Below are 20,961 nucleotides of genomic sequence, written 5' to 3' on the forward strand. Positions count from 1 at the left end.
TGATTATTAACATTAAAAAGTACTCTTAAGTCCATTAAAAGTTCATCATCTCATTTAATGTCCCTCTGTAACATTGATGTTATTGTTCCCATTTTACAGATAAGAAAGCTGAGGTCACAAAAAGGAAAGTGACTGGTCCAAGTTGAAATTGATCGTAATTAGCAGAGCCAGAAGTTGAAACCAGTTCTGTTTTATTATAAATCCACACCACACTTTGGATCACACATCATCAGTGGCCCAAACTCTCAGCTCTTGCAAATAAAAATAAATCAACAGTTTTTAGTGTCAAGTCTCTGTACAACATGTGCTGGTCCACATTTCATGCCTTGGGGCTAGTTATTGCCTTGTATTAATTATTATCTTTCATGTAGACTTTGCCTCCTAAGTAGTAACTAAATTGCTAACTCTTTATAGTCAAAAATATGTGTTTTCCATCTTTGTGCCCCACACTTAGAAGAGCTTTTTGCACATTTAGGTGATTTTTAGATCACCACGATAATGATAGTAGCTTTCTGCCTCTCTAGACTGCCCAACAATCTCTGGACAAATCAGGCCTCTCTGCCTATAAAGATGTGATGCAGGCTGGCTGCAGTGGTTCATGAGTATAATCCCAGCACTTTGGGAGGCCAAGGCAGAAGGATCAGTTGGGGCTAGGAGTTCAAGATCAGCCTGGGCAACATAGTGAGAACCTATCTCTACAAAAAATGTTTGTTTAATTTGCCAGAGTTCAAGGCTGCAGTGAGCTATGATCACTGCACTCCAGCTTGGGTGACACAGCAAGAGAAGAAAGAGAAAGAAAGGAAAGAAAGAAAGAGAGAAAGAGAGAGAGTGTGTAAGACAGCGAGAGAGAGAGAGAAAGGAGGGAAGGGAAGGGGAAGGGAAGGGAAAGGGGAAGGGAAGGAGAAGGGAGGGGAGGGGAGGGGAAGGGAAGGGAGGGGAGGGGAGGGGAAGGGAAGGGAAGGGAAGGGAAGGGAAGGGAAGGGAAGGGAAGGGAAGGGAAGGGGCAAACATGTTTCTCACAGGATTCTTTACACAGGCAAATAGGAAGCAGCTCAAATACCCCACAGGAAAAGAGAAGTTAAATGAACTATGAACTATGGGACATCTGCATGAGAGAATGTTACACAACTATTTAACATCATGTTTTCAGAAACTACTGAATAAGAGGAAAATGTTTACCAAATATTGTGATGCCTTTTGCATTTATAGCAAAGGAAAAAAAAAGCTTAGAGAAAAATACAACAAAATGTCAACTTTTGTTATCTCTGAGGGGAATAAAATACAGAGAACTTTTATTTTCTCTTTCTGAACATTAACTTCTTTTCTGGTAATCCTTGGGGCCACTCATTTCAACATGTTAGCTTCATTTCTCTTCACCTATAAAAATAGGAGCAATATTAGTTTCCTCACAAGGCTCTTATAAATAGTTAAAACTTTTCCAAAAAGAATTGGTTTGTAAATGAAAAACAATGGTATTAAATTATACAATAAAATCATGGTATAATTTTATGCAGTTTTCATAACAAAGTCTTTAGAGGGAGTGATGCCCTGTCAACTAGGAGTGGAAATTTTAGTGGAATTTTTCTTTTAAAACCCTACAAATGTATCCATTCTTTTGAAAGACTAAGACTGTGCTTGTCCTAGAGGCAGTGAATTATCAGAAAATGATTCTCCATTAATAATCCAAGGAAAACAGCAACCCCCCCTGCATCCCTAACCTAAATAGTTCAGCATCTCTTTGTATGGGATGGAGGCTAGACTTACCAGCATTATAACTTAGGGATCCCCTTGCTTTGCTGTTCACACAGTTGCGTGATCTAGATAGGGCAGGCATGACCAGGAGCTTCTCCCCAGCCTGCTCAGGGTCCACTGCAGGCCCGACACATGGCATGGCTATGGGGCCAGCCAGGCTTCTCACCTGGTGGGAGCCCCTCCAGGACCAATTGCCACACAAAACAGCCATTACCCAGGCAGCCCAGCTACCACCAGCAGGTTCCACTCCAGGAGCCCTTCCCTTGCAGTCTCCCCAGGAAGACTTTTCCCTCCTCTCCCTCCGCCACACTCCATCACATTCAGCTCTAGGCGTGATAGCCAGAGCACTGGGTGGGAGACAGCCAGTCTGGAAAGCAGTTCCCTTCAGTGCTACGAATATGCATTCAGCACCACTCTGCGCCCAGCACCAAGCACATCTGCTCTTTAAACTCAATAAATTAGCCAGGCGTGATGGCACGTACCTGTAATCCTAGCTACTTGGGAGGCTGAAGCAGGAGGATCCCTTGAGCCCGGGAGTTTGAGGTTACAATAAGCTATCATTGTGTCACTGCACTCTAGCCTGGGTGACAGGGTGAGACCCTGTCTCAAAAAAAGAAAAAAAAAATTAGAAAGAAAAACCTCGAGTCATTTTTACAACAGCTTTTCCTCCTATTTCATCCCCTTTCCACACAATCCAGCCATATACATGACTTCATTGGTAAGTAACCAATAACCCCATATCTCACCAACCTCAGCGATTTCAATTCTACAAACCCAGAGAAAAAGAACCAACCTTAATCACCTGGTAACACTTCAGCCTCACAGAATCCTTTGGGAAAAGCCAAGCTTTCTAGACAATCACAGGTCTTTTAAGCATCGAAACTTCTATGACATCTATGGTTTTGAATGGAAATCCTTCTCCATGACAGGCTGTGCTCTCTGCTTTCTTCCACAGATTACATTGAACTGAACTTCTCCCTGATGGTGCATCCTCAGGCCCCCCAGTGACTACCTTCATGGGGGCTGTTGATGGGTAGGGCCCTTTGCCTCTAGGTTCATTAGCCCCACACTGCTCTCTTCTGAGGTTTCAGTTTTTCTGTCTCTTTCATTCGGGGGCTCACTGTTTCTGCTTCCTTCCACCTTCCCAGCTCCCTTTTCTAATCCATTGCTAATTATCTGCTGGATGTTTGGACCTTGAGAGCTTGTTTGGAGGTTCTAGCAAGCGGGCACAGCTACTTGTATACCCTTGACCAAAGACTGGTCCTCCTCTATCCGGGATGGTCATCCTCTTCAACCAAGCGCACAGATTCAGGAGGGACACACATGGAGCAGTAAGTGGGGAAAGGGACACCCACCTAGCCAGCCAGATCAACTGAATCAACCCTGGTAATCAAGGGGGTGACAGAAGTCACAGCCAGATCACCCTCACATGTATCTGCTGGGTGTTTGGAACCCACTGATCACACTTGTTTTCAGCGCATGCTCAGCGTGGGTTCCGAGGGCCTTTCCCATGAGTAAAATGCCCACGCCTCAGTTCATCAGCTTGATGCTGCCTCTTTTGCTCAGTCTTGTCAGCTCATTTCCTGGTTCTTGCTGTGTTCTAGGCAGATGATTCAAGAGATGTTTTAGACAGTCTCAGTAGAAGCTTTCACTGCATTGGAAGTCATACCTGGGAACTAGACTTAAAATAATAACTCTCCAATGACCCCTGGAGGAACGAGTGGGTGACTTGAGAGGAACACACTGCTGTAGCAAAGACTGGAAATTTCAAAAAAGAAAAAGAAACATAAAGAAAACAGGGAATAAGAGGAAGATTTTTATACTTTCTCTTTTTTTTCCCAGCTAGCTAGTTGCTTTAATTTTTCAAATATTTACTTCCTCACCTCAACCCTGTTCCATAACCTCAACAGAGGGTAAAGTAGACCACCAGAATACATGATGGAAAGTGTAATAAAGAGAGATGAAGATGATTCCAAACATAAGAGTAGGCATTATGTATTCTAATTCGTTCAATCACTTGGACCTAAAAAAAATTCTATTTTGTTTCAGTGACTAAACTGGATAAAAGGGTGAGACTTGTTGCTTATGAAACACACTGCTAGGTTTTCAGAGTTTCACAGAACCCTTCTTTGTGAACACAAAGTTCTGTTTCCAAGTTGTCTCCTCAGTCTTCAGAGCTATTTTTTCATCCATGTTACCAAAACTCCTCATGCTAACTTCGACCTTCATTCACTTAGTAACATTTACCCAGGTCCTGCTACATGCCTGGCACTTCCCAGGGCATAGTCCCAACAGCACTTCCCTCAGCTTTTTGTCCCTCTTTGATTAAAGACAACCAAAAGGCCTCTAGAACTTGTTAGAATTCTTCCTAACAAATGAACATAAATATACAAAAGCGTGTTCATTGCAACACTGTTTAAATAGCAAAATGTTGACAAGAATCTAAATGCTCTAAAATGGGTAATTGATACAATGGAATATGCTGTGCATCTATAGTTATGGACCCGAGAATACAGTCATCTTGTATTAATAAGTGAGAAAAGATACATTTTACAGACAGACAAGTAACTACAGCATAATCGCTTTTATAGAACTCCATATTACTTATAAACATAGAGATGCATTTTTTAGTTAGAAGAATGTACACCAAAATAGGTGACAGAACTGTGAATGATTTTCCTCTCTTTTTGCTTGTCTCTATTTTCTAATGTTGTTTTAAGCAATTATGGATTTTAAAAAATCAACCAACATTTTAAAAAAAAATTTCTCTGATCAAGAGAAACAACTCCATTGCCTTATCAGTCACTGCAAACCTTACTAAAGTATGAGAAAGCCTCTCCTTAAAACCAAGTGCATTAAATCCAAGAGATGGAAACAGAGATGTCAATAATCTGCATCAGGAAAATCCCGAATGTTATGTCACAGAACTACTGGAACTGGTGTGCAGAGAGGATGCAGGCAGAAATACAGTAAGAAAAGAGACAATTCACCAACAAAGCAAATTAAAGAGGCTCAGGTCCCACGTAGACCAGTGGGCAGGGATGAGATACAAAACAGAAAAGAGAGGAATGAGGGTAAGGGGGAAGTTTCTGTAAGAGCAGTTGCTCTGCCTCTTCTCTTCCCACTCTCAGGACATAAGGCTCTGTATAGTACAAATCAAGGCTCGGGGTGAACTCACAGAAATTAATTGAAAGTATACACAGAAAATGATTTCACTCCAAATCTTTCCATCCACTCCTTAGAACATGTCCAGTCAGGCCAGGCGCAGTGGCTCATGCCTGTAATCCCAGCACTCTGGGAGGCTGAGGCAGGCAGATCACCTGAGGTCAGGAGTTTGAGACCAGCCTGACCAATATGGTGAAACCCAATCCCTACTAAAAATACAAAATTAGCCGGCATGGTGGCGCATGCCTGTAATCCCAGCTATTCGGGAGGCTGAGGCAGAAGAATCACTTGAACCCGGGAGGCAGTGGTTGCAGTGAGCCAAGATTGCGCCATTGCACTCCAGCCTGGGCAACAAGAGCGAAACTCCATCTCAAAAAAAGAAAAAAAAAAAAAAAAAGAACATGTCTAATCAAAGGGCTATCTCCAGCTAGGCATGGTGCCTCATGCCTCTAATTCCAGCATTTTGGAAGGCTGAGGCAGGTGGATCAGGAATTCGAGACCAGCCTGGCCAACATGGTGAAACTCCCTCTCTACTAAAAATACAAAATTAGCCAAGCATGGTGACAGGTGCCTGTAATCCCAGCTGATTGGGAGGCTGAGGCAAGGGAATCACTTGAGCCCAGGAGGCAGAGGTTGCAGTGAGCTGAGATTGTGCCACTGCACTCCAGCTAGGCAACACAGCAAGACTCGAAAGACTTTGTCTTTAAAAAAAAAAAAAAAAAAGCTATCTCCCAAGTCAGGAGATCAGAAGACTCTTCTCTGAAGTACCAGTGGAAAAAATTCTTCTTACTGACGTGAGGGGAATCTCCCATAAAATGAGTCTCCTGGTACAATGATGTAGAAGCAAATCGATCATTCGACAAGCTTTACAAGCCTGCATGACTTCCAATTCACTTTTTAGTGCCTCATTCTTAATATGAAATGGCAACCTAGGATCACCAGATCTATGAGAAAACTCCTAAAATGAAAGAGTAGTACCTAAAATCAATGAAGGATAAAGCAACTCAGAAGAAACCAAAATGATGCATGGGGCGGGAACACTTTTTTAATGCCCATTAATACCCTCAAAGAGACTTCATAGAGCAGAGAGGCAGGGCAAGATGGCAGAATAGAAGGCTTCATCAGTTGTCCCCCAACCCCCACAAAGACACCAATTTGACAACTATCTACACAGAAAAAATACCTGCATAAGAACCAAAAATCAGGCAAGCACTCATAGTACCTAGTTTTCACTTCATATCACTGAAAGAGGCACTGAAGAGATAGAAAAAAACAGTTCTGAATAGCCGATGCCACCCCTCCCCATCCCAGGCATCAGCTGTGTAGTGCAGAGAATATCTCTGAGCACTGCGGGAGGGAGAGCACAGCAATTGTGAGTCACTGAACTCTGTGCTGTCCTGTTAGAGGAGAAAGGAAAACCAGACCAAACTCGCTGATGCCTGCCCATGGAGAGAGCATTTAAACCAGACCTAGACAGAGGGGAATCGCCAATCCCAGCAGTCTGAACAGTAAACTTGAAAGGCAGTCTAGGCTATATGAACTGAAACTCTTAGGAAAGTTCAGGTGCTGAACTAGGCCCAGAAACGGTGGAATCAGGGGACACATGACATACTAAGACACTAGTTGCAGCAGCCAAAGGAATGATGGCACCACCCCTCCCCTAACCCCAAGCTTCACAGCTCACCCCTTCCTTCTACTTGAGGAGAGGAGAGGGAAGAGTGGGGAGGACTTTGTCTTGCACTTTGGATAACAGCTCAACCACAGCAGTATAGGGGACTGGTCAGAGTCGTGAGGCCCCTGTTCCAGGCCCTAGCTCCCAGATGGCATTTCTAGACATACCCTGGGCCATAAGAGAATCTGCTGCCTTAAAGGAAAGGACCCAGTTCTAGCAGCATTCATCACCTGCTAAATGAAGAGTCCTTGGGCCCCTGAATAACCAGTAGCAATACCCAGGTACATCAAGGGCCTTGGGTAAGACCTCGAGACTTGCTGGCTTCAGGTGAGACTCAGCACATTACCAGCTGTGGTGCATATGGGGCAAAACTCCTTCTGCTTGAGAAAAGCAGAGGGGAAAGTAAAGGGGACTTTGTCTTGCACCTTAGGTACCAGCACAGTCACAGTGGGGTAGAACACCAAGTGGGCTCTTGGGATCTCCAATTCCAGGACTTGGCTCTTGGATGGCATTTCTGGACCTGCCCTGGGTCAGAGGGGAGCCCCCTGCCCTAAAGGTTGAGTCCCAGGCCAGGCATCATTCACCATAAGCTGACTTAAGGGCCTTTGGGTCATAAGGGAATATCAGAGGTAGTCTGGCAGTACTCCTCATGGCCAGGGGTAGTGGTGGCTACAGGGTGAGGCTCCTCTGACTTTGGAAAGGGGAGGGAAAAGTGGGAAGGACGGCATCTTGTGTTTTGACTGCCAACTCAGCAGCACTACAACAGAATACCAGGTAGGCTTCTAAGGTTTTTGACTCTAGTCTCTGACTTCCAGACAGTACCTCTGGACCCATCAAGGGCCTAGAGTACCTCCCTGCCATGAGGGGCAAGACACAGGACTGTCTGGCTTTGCCACTGGCTGATTGTAGAGCCCCAGGACCTAGAGTGAACATAGGCAGTAACCAGGGAGTGGTTACAGCAGGCCTTGAGCAAGATCCAGTTGTGTGCTGGCTTCAGGTCTGACCCAGAGCAGTCATAGTTTTAGTGACCACGGGGTGCTTGTGTCACCCCACCCCCAGCTTTAGGTAGCTCAGAACAGAGAGAGAGAGACTCTATTTGTTTGGAAGAAAGTAAGCAAAAAGAACAAGAGTCTCTGCCTGGTAATCCAGAGAATTCTCCAGTATCTTATCCAAGACCAAAACAGTAACTCTACGAGTCTGCAAGAAGCACAGCATTACTGGGGCTAGGGTGTCCCCTAAAGCAGATACAGCTTAGGTCAAAACAGCCAAGTCTTTTCAAATATCTGCAGAGCCTTCCCAAAAAGGATGGGTACAAATAAGCCCAGATAGTGAAGTCTACAATAAATATCTAACTCTTCACTGCCTAGACACTGAAGAACATCTACTAGCCTCAGTACCATCCAGGAAAACCTTATTTAGTTCACCAAATGAACTAAATAAGGTACCACAGACCAATCCTAGAGAAACAGACTTCTGTGATCTTTCAGACACAGAATTCAAAATAGCTGTACTGAGGAAACTCAAATAAATTCAAGATAATATAGAGAAGGAATTCATAATTCTTTTTGGGGGGACTCATAATTCTATCAGATAAATTTAACAAAGAGATTGAAATAATCAAAAAGCATCAAGCAGAAATTCTGGCACTGAAAAATTCCATTGGCATAGTGAAGAATGCATCAGAGTCCTTTAATTGATCAAGCAGAAGAGATACTTAGTGAGCTTGGAGACAGGCTCTTTTTGAAAATATACAGTCAGAGGAGACAAAAGAAAAAAACAATAAAAAACAACAAATAATGCTTACAGGATCTAGAAAATAGCCTCAAAAAAGCAAATCTAAAAGTTTTGGCCTCAAAGAGGGGATAAAGAGATAGGAGTAGAAACTTTATTGAAAGGGATAATAACAAAGAACTTCCCAAACCTAAAGAAAGATATCAATATCCAAGTAGAAGAGAATTATACAACACGAAGAAGATTTAGAGTACCTCAAGGCATTTAATAATCAAACTCCCAAAAGTCAAGGATAAAGAAAGAATCCTAAAAGCAGCAAGAGAAAAGAAACAAATAACATACAATGGAACTCTAATACATCTGGCAGCAGACTTTTCAGCAGAAACCTCATAGGCCAGGAGAGAGTGGTATAGCATATTTAAAGTGCTGAAGGAAAAAAATTTCTAACCTAGAATAGTATATCCAGCAAAAATATCCTTCAAACACGAAGGAGAAATAAAGACTTTCCCAGACATACAAAAGCTGAGGGATTTCATCAACACCAGATCTGTCCTACAAGAAATGCTAAAGTGAGTTCTTCAATTGGAAAGAAAAAGACGTTAATGAGCAAGAAGAAACCATCTGAAGATAAAAAACTCACTGGTAATAGTAAGTATTAAAAAAAAACACAAAATATGATAACACCATAGCTGTGGTGTGTAAACTACTCTTACCATACATACAAAGAATAAATGATGAACCAACCAAAAATAATAAACACAACAACTTTTCAAGACATAGTACAATAAGATATAAATAGAAACAACAAAAAGTTAAAAAGCGAGAGGATGAAGTTAAGGCATAGAGTTTTTATTGGTTTTCTTTTTGCTTATTTGTTTGTTTGTTTATGCAAACAGTGTTAAGTTGTTATCAGGTTAAAATAATGGATTATAAGATAGTATTTGCAAGCCTCATGGTAACCTCAAACCAAAAAACATCCAATGGATACACAAAAACTTAAAAGCAAGAAACTAAATCATGTCCATATTGTTATTGATAAGTAAGAACTTACATAATATTATGTCATTTACATAACATTGAATGCAAATGGACTAACTTATCCAATCAAAAGACATAGAGTGGAGGAATGGATGAAAAAACAAGACCTATTGATCTGTTGCACACAAGAAACACACTTCACCTATAAAGACATACATACACTGAAAATAAAAGGTTAGAAAAAGGTACTTCATGCCAACAGAAACCAAAAAAAGAGTAGGAGTAGCTATACTTCTATCCGACCAAATAGATTTCAAGAAAAAAACTGTAAGAGACAAAGAAGGTCACTACATAATGATAAAGGGGTCAATTCAACAAGAGGCTATAACAATTATATATGCACCCAACACTGGAGCACCCAGATATATAAAGCAAATATTATTAGAACTAAAGAGAGAGATAGGCCCCAATACAATAATAGCTGGAGACTTAACAACTCACTTTCAGCATTGGACAAATCTTCCAGACAGAAAATCAACAAAGAAACATCAGACTTAATCTGCACTACAGACCAAATAGATTTAATAGATATTTACAGGACATTTTATCCAATGGCTGCAGAATACACATTCTTTTCCTGAGCACATGGATCATTCTCAAAAACAGACCATACCTTATGTCACAAAGCACACCTTAAAACACTCAAAAACTGAAATAATATCAGGCATCCTCTCTGACTACAATGGAATAAAACTAGAAATTAATAATAAGAGGAATTTTGGAAACCATACAAATACATGGAAATTAAACAATATGCTCCTTAATGACCAGTAGATCAATGAAGAAATTTAGAAGAAAATTGAAATTTTTCTTGGAAAAAATGATAATGGAAACACAACATACCAAAACCTATGGGATACAACAAAAGCAGTACTCAGAGGGAAGTTTTATTGTAGGCTGTAAGTGCCTACAATAAAAAAGAGGAAAATCTTCAAATAATCTAATGAAGCATCTTAAAGAACTAGAAAAGTAAGACCAAACCAAACCCAAAATTAGTAGAAGAAAAAAAAAATAAAGATCATAGCAGAAACAAATGAAATTGAAAAAAAAAATACAAGGCCAGTGCTGTGGCTCACACCTGTAATTCCAGCATTTTGGGAAGCCAAGGCCGGCAGATCATCTGAGGTCAGGAATTCAAGACCAGCCTGGCCAACATAGTGAAACACTGTCTCTACCAAAAATACAAAAATTAGCTGCACATGGTGGCACGTGCTGGTAGTCCCAGCTACTTGGGAGGCTGAGGCAGGAGAATCACTTGAACCCAGGAGACAGATGTTGCAGCAAGCCAAGATTATGCCACTGCACTCCAGCCTGGGTGACAGAGTGAGACTCCGTGAAGAAAAAAAAAAAAAAAAAAAAAAAAAGATCAATGAAACAAAAAGTTGTTTTTTTGAAAAGTTAAACAAAAATGACAAACCTTTAGCCATACTAACAAAGGGGAAAAAAAGAAGATACAAATAAATAAAATCAGAAATGAAAAAGGAGACATTACAACTGATACTGCAGAAATTCAGAGGATAATTAGTGGCTACTATGAGCAACTATATGCCAATACATTGGAAACCCTAGAAGAAATAAACAAATTCCTAGACACATACAACCTACCAAGATTGAATCAGGAATAAATCCAAAACCTGAACAGACCAATAACAAGTAACAAGATTGAAGCCATAATAAAAAGTCTCCCAGTAAAGAAAAGCCTGAGACTTGATGCCTTCACTGCTGAATTCTACCAAACATTTAAAGATGGACTAATACCAATCCTACCCAAACTATTCCAAAAAATAGAGGAGGAGGGATACTCCTTCCAAACTCATTCTATGAGGCCAGGGTTACCCTGATACAAAAACCAGACAAAGACATATCAAAAAAAGAAAACTATAGGCCAATATTGAATTGAATATTGATGAATATTGATGCAAAATTCCTCCACCAAATACTAGCAAACCAAATTCAACAATACATTAGAAAGATCATCCAACATGACCAAATGGGATTTATCCCTGGGATGCTAGGATGGTTCAGTATATGCAAATCAATCAATGTGATACACCATATCAAAGGAATGAAGGATAAAACCCATATGATCATTTCAACTGGTGCTGAAAAAGCATTTGATGAAAATCAACATCCCTTCATGATAAAAACTCCCAAAAGACAGGATAGAAGGAACATACCTCAACATAATAAAAGCCATATATGACTGACCCACAGTGAATATCATATGGAATGGGGGAAAACTGAAAGCCTTTCCTCTAAGATCTGGAACACAACAAGGATGCCCACTGTCACCACTGTTAATTCAGCATGGTACTGGAAATTCTAGCTAGAGCAATCAGACAAGAGAAAGATATAAAGAGCATCCAAATTGGAAAGGGAAACGTCAAATTATCCTTGTTTGCAGGTAATATAATCTTATATTTGGAAAACGCTAAAGACTCCACAAGGAAACTATTAGAACTGATAAACAAATTCAGCAAAGTTGCAGGATACAAAATCAACATACAAAAATCAGTAGCATTTCTATATGTGAACAGTGAAAAACGTGAAAAAGAAATCAAAAAAGTAATCCCATTTACAATGGCCACACATAAAATTAAATACCTCGGAATTAACGAAAGAAGTGAAATATCTCTATAATGAAAACTATAAAACACTGATGAAAGAAATTGAAGAGGACACCAAAAAATGGAAAAATATTCCATGTTCACAAATTGGAAAAATCAGTATTGTTAAAAATGCCCATACTACCCAAAGCCATATACAATCCACAGATTCCACGCAATCCCTATCAAAATACTAAAGACATTCTTCACAGAACTACAAAAAAAATCCTAAAATTTTTACAGAACTACAAAAGGCCCAGACCAGCCAAAGTCATCCTAAGCAAAAAGAACAAAACTGGAGGAATCACATTACCTGACTTCAAATTATACTACAGAGCTATAGTAAGCAAAACAGCATAGTACTGCCATAAAAACAGACACATAGACCAATGGAATAGAATAGAGAACCCAGAAACAAATCCATACATCTACAGTGAACTGATTTTGACAAAGGTACCAAGAACAGACACTGTGGAAAAGATAGCCTCTTCAATGAATAGTATTGGGAAAACTGGATATCCATATGCAGAAGAATGAAACTAGACCTGTATCTCTTACCATATAAAAAATCAAATCAAAATGGATTAGGGACTTAAATCTAAGACCTCAAACTATGAAACTACTAAAAGAAAACACTGGGAAAGTCTCCAGGATATTGGACTGGGCAAAGATTTCTCAACCAATACTCCACAAGCACAGGCAACCAAAGCAAAAATGGACAAATGAGATCCTATCAAGTGAAAAGCTTATGCACAGCAAACAAAGTGAAGCAATCAACAAAGTGAAGAGACAATCCACAGAATGGGAGAAAATATTTGCAAACAACTCATCTGACAAAGGATTAATAACCAGAATATATAAAGATCTCAAACAACTCTATAGGAAAAAAAATCTAATACTCTGATTTTAAAATGAGCAAAAGTTCTGAATAAACATTTCTCAAAAAAGGACATACAAATGGCAAACAGGCTTTTGAAAAAGTGATCAACACCACTGATCATCAGAGAAATGCAAATCAAAACTACAATGAGATATTATCTCACCCTTGTTAAAATGGCTTATATCCAAAAGACAGGCAACAACAAATGCTAGAGAGGATGTGGAGAAAAGGGAACACTTGTACACTGTTGGTGGGAATGTGATTTAGTACAACCACTATGGAGAACATTTTGGAGGTTCCTCAAAAAACTAAAAATAGAGCTACTATATGATGCAGCAATTCACTGCTGGGTATATACCCAAAAGAAAGGAAGTAAGTATATCAATGAGATACCTGCACTCCTATGTTTGTTGCTGCACTGTTTAGAATAGCTAAAATTTGGAAGCAATGTAAGTGTCCATCAACAGATGAATGGATAAAGAAAATGTGGTACATATACTCAGTGGAGTACAATTCAGCCATAAAAAGTAATGAGATCCCATCATTTGCAACAAGGATGGAACTGGAGATCATTTTGTTAAGTGAAATAACAAACATCACAACCGAGAGACAAACATCACATGTTCTCACTTTTTTGTGGGATCTAAAAATCAAAACAATTGAACTCATGAACATAGAGTGGTTACCAGAGGCTGGGAAGCGTAGAAGGGGGCTGGGAAGGAGGTAGAGATGGTTGCTGAGTACAAAAAAAAAAATAGAAGAAATAAGACCTACTATTTGATAGCACAATAGGGTGACTATAGTCAATAATAACTTTTTTATTTTTTTTTTTGAGACAGAGTTTCACTCTTCTTGCCCAGGCTGGAGTGCAATGGCGTGATCTCAGCTCACTGCAACCTCTGCTCCTGGGTTCAAGCGATTCCTGCCTCAGCCTCCCAAATAGCTGCGATTACAGGCAAGTGCGACCATGCCCAGCTAATTTTTCTATTTTTAGTAGAGATAGGGTTTCACCATGTTAGCCAGGCTGTTCTCAAACTCCTGACCTCAGGTGATCCACCTGCCTCAACCTCCCAAAGTGCTGGGATTACAGGCGTTAGCCATTGAGCCAGGCCAATAATAACTTAATTATACATTTTAAAATAACCTAAAGAGTGTAATTGAATTGTTTGTAACCCAAAGGATAAATTCTTGAGGGAATGGATACCCCATTCTCCATGATCTGCTTATTTCACATTGCATGTTTTTATCAAAACATCTCATATACCCCATAAATAATACACCTATTATGTAACTCAGAAAAAAAATTTTTAATGTTTTAAAGGCAAAAAAATAGAGACTTCATAAAGATATTGTATAACAACATAAGAACAGGGACCTATGAAAAAAGAAAAGTAAAAAATTAAGAAAAAGCACCTGGAAATTAAAAATAAAATAGCCAAAATAAATGAATAAACAAACAGCCAAAAGAAATATTTCAATATAAAGTTTGAGAGAGAGGCCGGGCGCGGTGGCTCATGCCTGTAATCCCAGCACTTTGGGAGGCTGAGGCAGGCAGATCACCTGAGGTCAGGAGTTCGAGACCAGTCTGCCCAACATGGCAAAACCCCATCTCTACGGAAAATACAAAAAATTAGCTTGGCATGCTGGTGGGTGCCTGTAAGCCCAGCTACTCGGGAGGCTGAGGCAAGAGACTCGCTTCAACATGGGTGGCAGAGGTTGCAGTGAGCCGAGATCATGCCATTGCACTCCAGCCTGGGCGAAAAGCATGAAACTCTGTCTCAATAAATTAATTAATTAATTAATTAATTAATTAATTAATTTGGGAGAGAAAGTCAAGAAATTCTCAGAAAAATAAAAGCTTAAAAACCAGAGGGAAAACATGAGAAAAAATACAATAATTGATGCTTATTGAGTGCTTATCTTATGTCAGTTCTAAGAATTTTACATGTATTCATACATTTAGTGCTTCACAGTTTTATGAGATAGGAGCTATTCTTATAATCAACCCATTTTACATATGAGAAAACTGAGGCATGGAGAAATTAAATAACTTGCCCAAGGCAAACAGCTAGTAAATAAATGGCACAGCTAGAATTTGCAACCAGAGCAGTCTGCCCCTTAACCAGTATGCTATACTGCCAGATGAAACATAAAGATCGAAATATCATGCTATCCTGATTGAAATAATGGAAGAAGGACTCGAAATATAATTGCAAATGTTGTCGAAGAATGTATTATGAATGCATTGAATGATACCCTAGAGAAATTCAGCCATAAGAGGTTGTAGTGAGCCGAGATCACACCACTGCACTCCAGCCTGAGCAACAGAGCAAGACTCCATCTCAAAAAAAAAAAAGAAGAAAGAAGAAAAGAAAAGAAATTTAGCCATAAATTTCCAGCTGCAAAAGCCAAAACCTCTCATTGAAGATGGCACCACTAAAGAGGATCTACATTATTTAGCAACCTCAAAAATCCAAAGCTAGAAAGTAAACACAAATAATGATTGAATTTAATTGATATCTAATAGCTGGATATTCCTGTATTGTAAGTCGTAAAAGCTAAGAAAAAAAAAGTGTAAAGGCATTAGAATAGTAGTTGGTAAATAACATAATAGATACCAATTTCCAGTCAAGATCGGGCAATGAGTTCATGCTTTGATTTCCTCTTTATTATCCAAATATGTGAAAATATGGAATAAAATATATAAAAGGAGAAAATGTGTCATATTCAAAAAAAGACAAACATCTCCATGGAACAGAGGTGCAAAACTGAGAGCCAGGCTAAAGCTGTGGCTGTGGTGGCCAGAAACAGCTCCATGGGAGTCAACGAGTTTTAAAATTTCCATAAATTAGGCAGAAATCAGGCTTGCTGCTTGAGGAAATAGACTGAACAAAACATAGCCAACTTCTGCTTAGAGCTGTTGCAGTGTTTTTCAACTTTTATTTTCATTATTATCCCTCTAAAAAGATAAATGTTTAAATTTTTCCTAGTGAGAGAAATTAAATGCTAGGGAATATAATTTTTAGGAGGCAGGATTGTGCTTTGAAGAGCCACAAACCATTGTAATATCTAAGATTATTCACCTTCTAAGAATCAAATGTTAAATGATCAGGAGCAACATTGCCCCTGTGGAGAATGCATACATTATAGCTTAAAAACTCACAGCCTTGCCACTAAGAATGGAGCCAAACTGCTCATTGGCCATATGACTGGCTCTTGGGTACTCTACCATCACTATAGTGCAGGAACTCCAACCAGCAATTAATTTAAAGCCTCATTATAGATTTAGGGTTCTGAAGGACATTGTAAGGGAGAACTGCAAAAATGTTGAACAGAGAGGCATATGGGCAAAGATGGGAGAAGGAGAGACAAATGAAAAATGAAAAAAAAAAAGGCTTATTCAAAATTACTGGTAAACCAAAATTCCAAAAAACAAAAATACATTGCTACTAAAGAAAGCCAACAAAATTAATAATCATGTATTCTCTCTGGAAAATTAATTTTATTAGACAGCTGAACAAAGACTAAATTATAAACAGTGAGCATTTACAAAAAAGAGAAAACAAAAGAATACAAAATTCTTCAACAAAAACAGGTTTTAAAATACCACAAGATAAGCGAACATTTAAAAGAAGCAATTAGAAATTTAGAAAATGATATATATTGATTGAATTTCAAAATACAAATACAGGACCAGGCACCATGGCTTGCACCTGTAATCTCACTACTTTGGGATGCTGAGGTGGGAGGATCACGTGAAGCCAGGAGTTTGAGATCAGCCTGGGCAGCATAGTGAGACCCCATCCATATGAAAAAAAATTTTTTATTACCCAGGCATGGTGGCACGTGTCTGCAGTCCAGCTATTAGGAGGCTTAGGCAGGAGGATGGCTTGAGTCCAGGAGTTTAAAGTTACCATGAGCTATGATCATACCACTGCACTCCAGCCTGGTCAACAGAGAAAGGCCTTGTCTCTTAAAAAAATAGATAAATACAATAAACAGGACTATACTGTTCTCCCTTTTAGAGAGAGAGAAAGAGAGAGAATTTAAGTAGCAATGTATGAAACATGAAAGATAGACTGAGAGATTCCAAATATTTTAATGAATAGGATTTCCAAAAGAAGAAACTGAAATGAATGATGAGGAATAAATATCTGAAAAAATTGTTGCTGAACAGGCATGGTGGTTCACGTCCCAGCACTGTGGGAGACCAAGGTGGGCAGATCACTTGAGGCCAGGAGTTTGAGACCAGCCTGGCCAATATGGCAAAACCCCATTTCTACTAAAAATACAAAAATCAGCCAGGCATGGTGGCACATGCCTGTCATCCCAGCTACTTGGGAGGCTGAGGCACAAGAATCACTTGAATCCAGGAGGCAGAGGTTGCAATGAGCCGAGATCACACCACCGCACTCCAGCCTGGGCAACAGAGTGAAACTCTGCCTCAAAAAAAAAAAAAAAAAAGTTGCTGATCTTTTTCTAGAATTAAAGAAAGAAACCTGATTAATCATCGGATCAGTATGATCCAAATACTAAGTAGAATAAATACAAATAAAACCAAGCTTGGACACACTGAAGTGAAATGTTGAAATCAAGTGTAAAGAGACAGTCTTAAAATTCATCAGTGAGAAAGACAAACAACCTAAAACAGTGTGACAATTGTACTGACAGCAGATTCCTTGTTAGCAAAAGTAGATATAAGAAGTTAATGAAATAATATTTTAAAACATCAGAGAGGTGGTCATCTAAGATATTAACATAAGGGCAAATACGGGTGAGGAGCACACAAAAACTCTGTATTATCTTTGCTACTTTTCTGTAACTCTAAAATAATTCCCTTAAAAAGGTTTTTTTTTTTAATGTAGTGAAAAGGAAACAAAACAGTTAAGCTAGAATTTTATAGCCAGCTAATCCATCTGCCAAAGACATGAAAATAATTATATGAGAATATAGAAAAGCAAGAAGTGCATCAAACACAGTGAAAAGTTGTAAGATTACAAAAAAAAACTGACTAGCCTAGAAACTGATTCCTGTCTTCCTTTCTTCCTCCTTCCTTCATGAATAATTCAGTCCAAAATCAACTAGGTAGGGCCAAGCAAGGTAGGTCTCTGGAGGCTGTGGGGAGAAAAGTAGCAGCGGCAGCTCAGCATGGGGTATCAAAGCTGGAGCAAAATGAGATCATCTGTGCACCCATTTAGCACCATGCTAAATCTGAACAACCCAAATTTAGCATGGGTTGTCCAAGCTAAATCAAAGGAAGAGGGTGTCTACTCAGTAGAGAGGTGGTCATAGCCCAGCACAAAGGGTCAAAAGCCAAGTAGAATGAGATCATCTGTGCAGGGGGGAACAGTGGTGGTGGATGAAATGCTCATGGGAGCATTTCAGAATTTGGATTTTTGGATTTGGAAAGCTCAAGCAGTAAGTATAATGCGAATATTCCAAAATCAAAAAAAAATGAAAAAAATTGAAACAAAATACTTCTCAGTCCCAAGCATTTCAGATAAGAGATACTCAACCTGTAATAAATAAATATGTTGAGAATAATAAAAGCCAGGTTTTTTACTTCAGAGATAAGTTGTAAATAAAAGGAGAAAAGTAGAATGAACTCCATGATGTTTGCTTGGAATTGGAAGCATGAGTGGGAACTCATGGTTTTCAATATGTGTGTGCAGGTATATTGTGTATAGAGCTTTGTCAATTGAGAGAGCCTAAGAAGATCAGCACCCAAAAGGTTTGAGCACACCTAGTGCCCAAATCTTCATTTCTGAATATCATTGTTTGCTAAAAAGAATCAGGGTTCTTGGCCGGGCATGGTGGCTCATGCCTATAATCCCAGCACTTTGGGAGGTCGAGGCAGGTAGATCACCTGAGGTCAGGAGTTCGAGACCAGCCTGACCAACATGGTAAAACCCCTTCTTTACTAAAAATACAAAATTAGCCATGTGTGGTGGTGCATGCCTGTAATCCCAGCTACTCGGGAGGCTGAGGCAGGAGAGTCTCTTGAACCTGGGAGGCAGAGGTTGCAGTGAGCCGAGATTGCACCATTGTACTCCAGCCTGGGCGAGAAGAGTGAAACTCTGTTTCAAAAAAAAAAAGAATCAGGGTTTCTTGGGAAAATGCCTGTTTCCAAAGCTGGCAGGGGAAGTGCTCAAAAAATGATGAGAAGGGCAGGCTAACAATCTCTTCAACAAGTGATGCTAGGAGAACTGGATATTCACTTGCAAAAGAATGAAGTTGGATTCTTACTTCACGCCATATACAAAAAATTAATTTAAAATGGATCAAAGATCAAAATGTATGCACTAAAACTATAAAACTCTTAGAAGAACACATAAGGGTAAATCTTCATGACTTTGGATTTGTCAATGGTTTCTTAGGTATGACACCAAAATCACAGCAACAAAAGAAAAAATAGATAAATTGGACTTCATTAAAATTTAAAAAGCTTTGTGCATCAAAGAATCAAGAGTGAAAATGCAAACTTCAGAATGGGACAAAATATTTGCAAGCCATCTATCTGACGAGGATCTAGTATCCAGAATACATAAGGAACTCCTACAATTCAACAACAAAAAAAAGAAACAACACTATTTAAAATGAGTTGAGTATTAATTTCTCCAAAGATATATAAATGGCCAAAAAGCACATGAAAACAGTCTCAACATCATTAGTTATTAGAGAAATGCAAATCAAAACCACAATGAGATACCACTTCACACTCAGTAGGATAGCAATTAAAATGGGGGAGGGGGATCAGTGTTTGTGAGGAAGTGAAGTCATCGGATTGGAACCCTTATATATTGCTGGTGGGAATGTAAAATAATGCAGCCACTGTGGAAAACAGTTTGGATGTTCCTCAATGTGGTAAACATAGAATTATCATGTGATCCATCATTCCCACTCCTAGGTATATACCAAAAATAACTGGAAATAGCATTCAAACAAAAACACGTATGTAAATTTTCATAGCAGCACTATTCACAAGAGCCAAAAGATGGAAACAGCCCAAATATTCATCAATAGATGAATAGATAAATAAAATGTGGTATATCCACACAATGGAATATTATTAAACTATAAAAAGAAATGAAGTACTGATACATACTACAACATGAATGAACCATGAAGGCATTACACTAAGTGAAGGAAGACACAAAAGACCATATATTGTATTTATATGAAATATCCAGAATAGGCAAATCCATTGAGACAGAAAGCAGATTTGTGGTTGCCAGGAGGGCAGAAATGGGGAATGAATGCTTAATTATTAATAGTATGGGGTTTCCATTCGGGGTGACAAAAATTTCTCAAACTAGATATTTCACAATATATAGTGATGATTTCACAATATCGGCTAAGCATGGTGGCTCATGCCTGTAATCCCAGCACTTTGGGAGGCTGAAGCAGGCGGATCACCTGAGGTTGGGAGTTCCAAACCAGCCTGGACAACATGGTGAAACACCTGTCTCTACTAAAAATACAAAAAAAAAAAAAAGAAAGAAAGAAAGAAGAAAAACGTTAGCCAGGTGTGGTGGTGCATGCCTGTAATCTTGGCTACTCGGGAGGCTGAGGTAGGAGAATCACTTGAACCCGAGAGGCAGAGGTTGCAGTGCACGAGATCGCGCCATTGCACTCAGCCTGGGCAACAAGAGCGAAACTCTGTCTCAAAAAAAAAGAAAAAAAAAAAATCATGAAAGTACTTAATGCCATTGAGCTGTCGAAACAGTTTAAATAACAAAAATTAGAATAAAAAAATAAAATTGTCATAATGGTAAATTTTATGTTATATGTATTTTGCCACAATAAAAAAAATTAAATGATCAAAATAAAATTATGGAGCCATGTCAAAGGACATAGAAACCAACTTGAAGCACTTCCCACTGGCCTGTCTGGGAAAATGTGAACATCAATAAGTAGTAATAGAAATAGATCCATTGAATAAAATAGAAATCCATGAAATTCAATATGAGAGTCCAAAAGAGGAAAGAGAAAATTTTTCCTTACAGTGCAATTCAAAATAATATTTATAAAAGGAATGATGAAACTCACCATTTAGTAAACATCATAGTAAAAATTAATTCAACCAAGAAGCATCAATGGATAAGAGTCAATAAAAG

The 20,961-nt window shown here is 39.1% G+C and overlaps 2 long non-coding RNA genes and 1 pseudogene across 2 annotated transcripts in view; all 3 read right to left on the reverse strand.

The window, feature by feature from the left end:
* Nucleotides 1–20,961, reverse strand: part of LOC107984116 (uncharacterized) — a 46,646-nt gene that overhangs the window by 7,028 nt on the left and 18,657 nt on the right. The window lies entirely within an intron of this gene.
* The window catches only part of LINC02198 (long intergenic non-protein coding RNA 2198), a 62,187-nt gene continuing 41,399 nt past the window's right edge, over nucleotides 174–20,961 (reverse strand). Inside the window, exons 2-4 of the long non-coding RNA NR_130778.1 lie at nucleotides 2,546–3,510; nucleotides 2,235–2,352; nucleotides 174–1,377 (exon numbers count right to left, since the gene is read on the reverse strand). This is a non-coding gene — a long non-coding RNA (long intergenic non-protein coding RNA 2198). The remainder of the gene's footprint in view (nucleotides 1,378–2,234; nucleotides 2,353–2,545; nucleotides 3,511–20,961) is intronic.
* Nucleotides 2,941–3,183, reverse strand: RN7SKP251 (RN7SK pseudogene 251; annotated as a pseudogene).

This window comes from Homo sapiens, chromosome 5 (assembly GCF_000001405.40).
Source record: "Homo sapiens chromosome 5, GRCh38.p14 Primary Assembly".
Classification (NCBI taxonomy): Eukaryota; Metazoa; Chordata; class Mammalia; order Primates; family Hominidae; genus Homo; species Homo sapiens.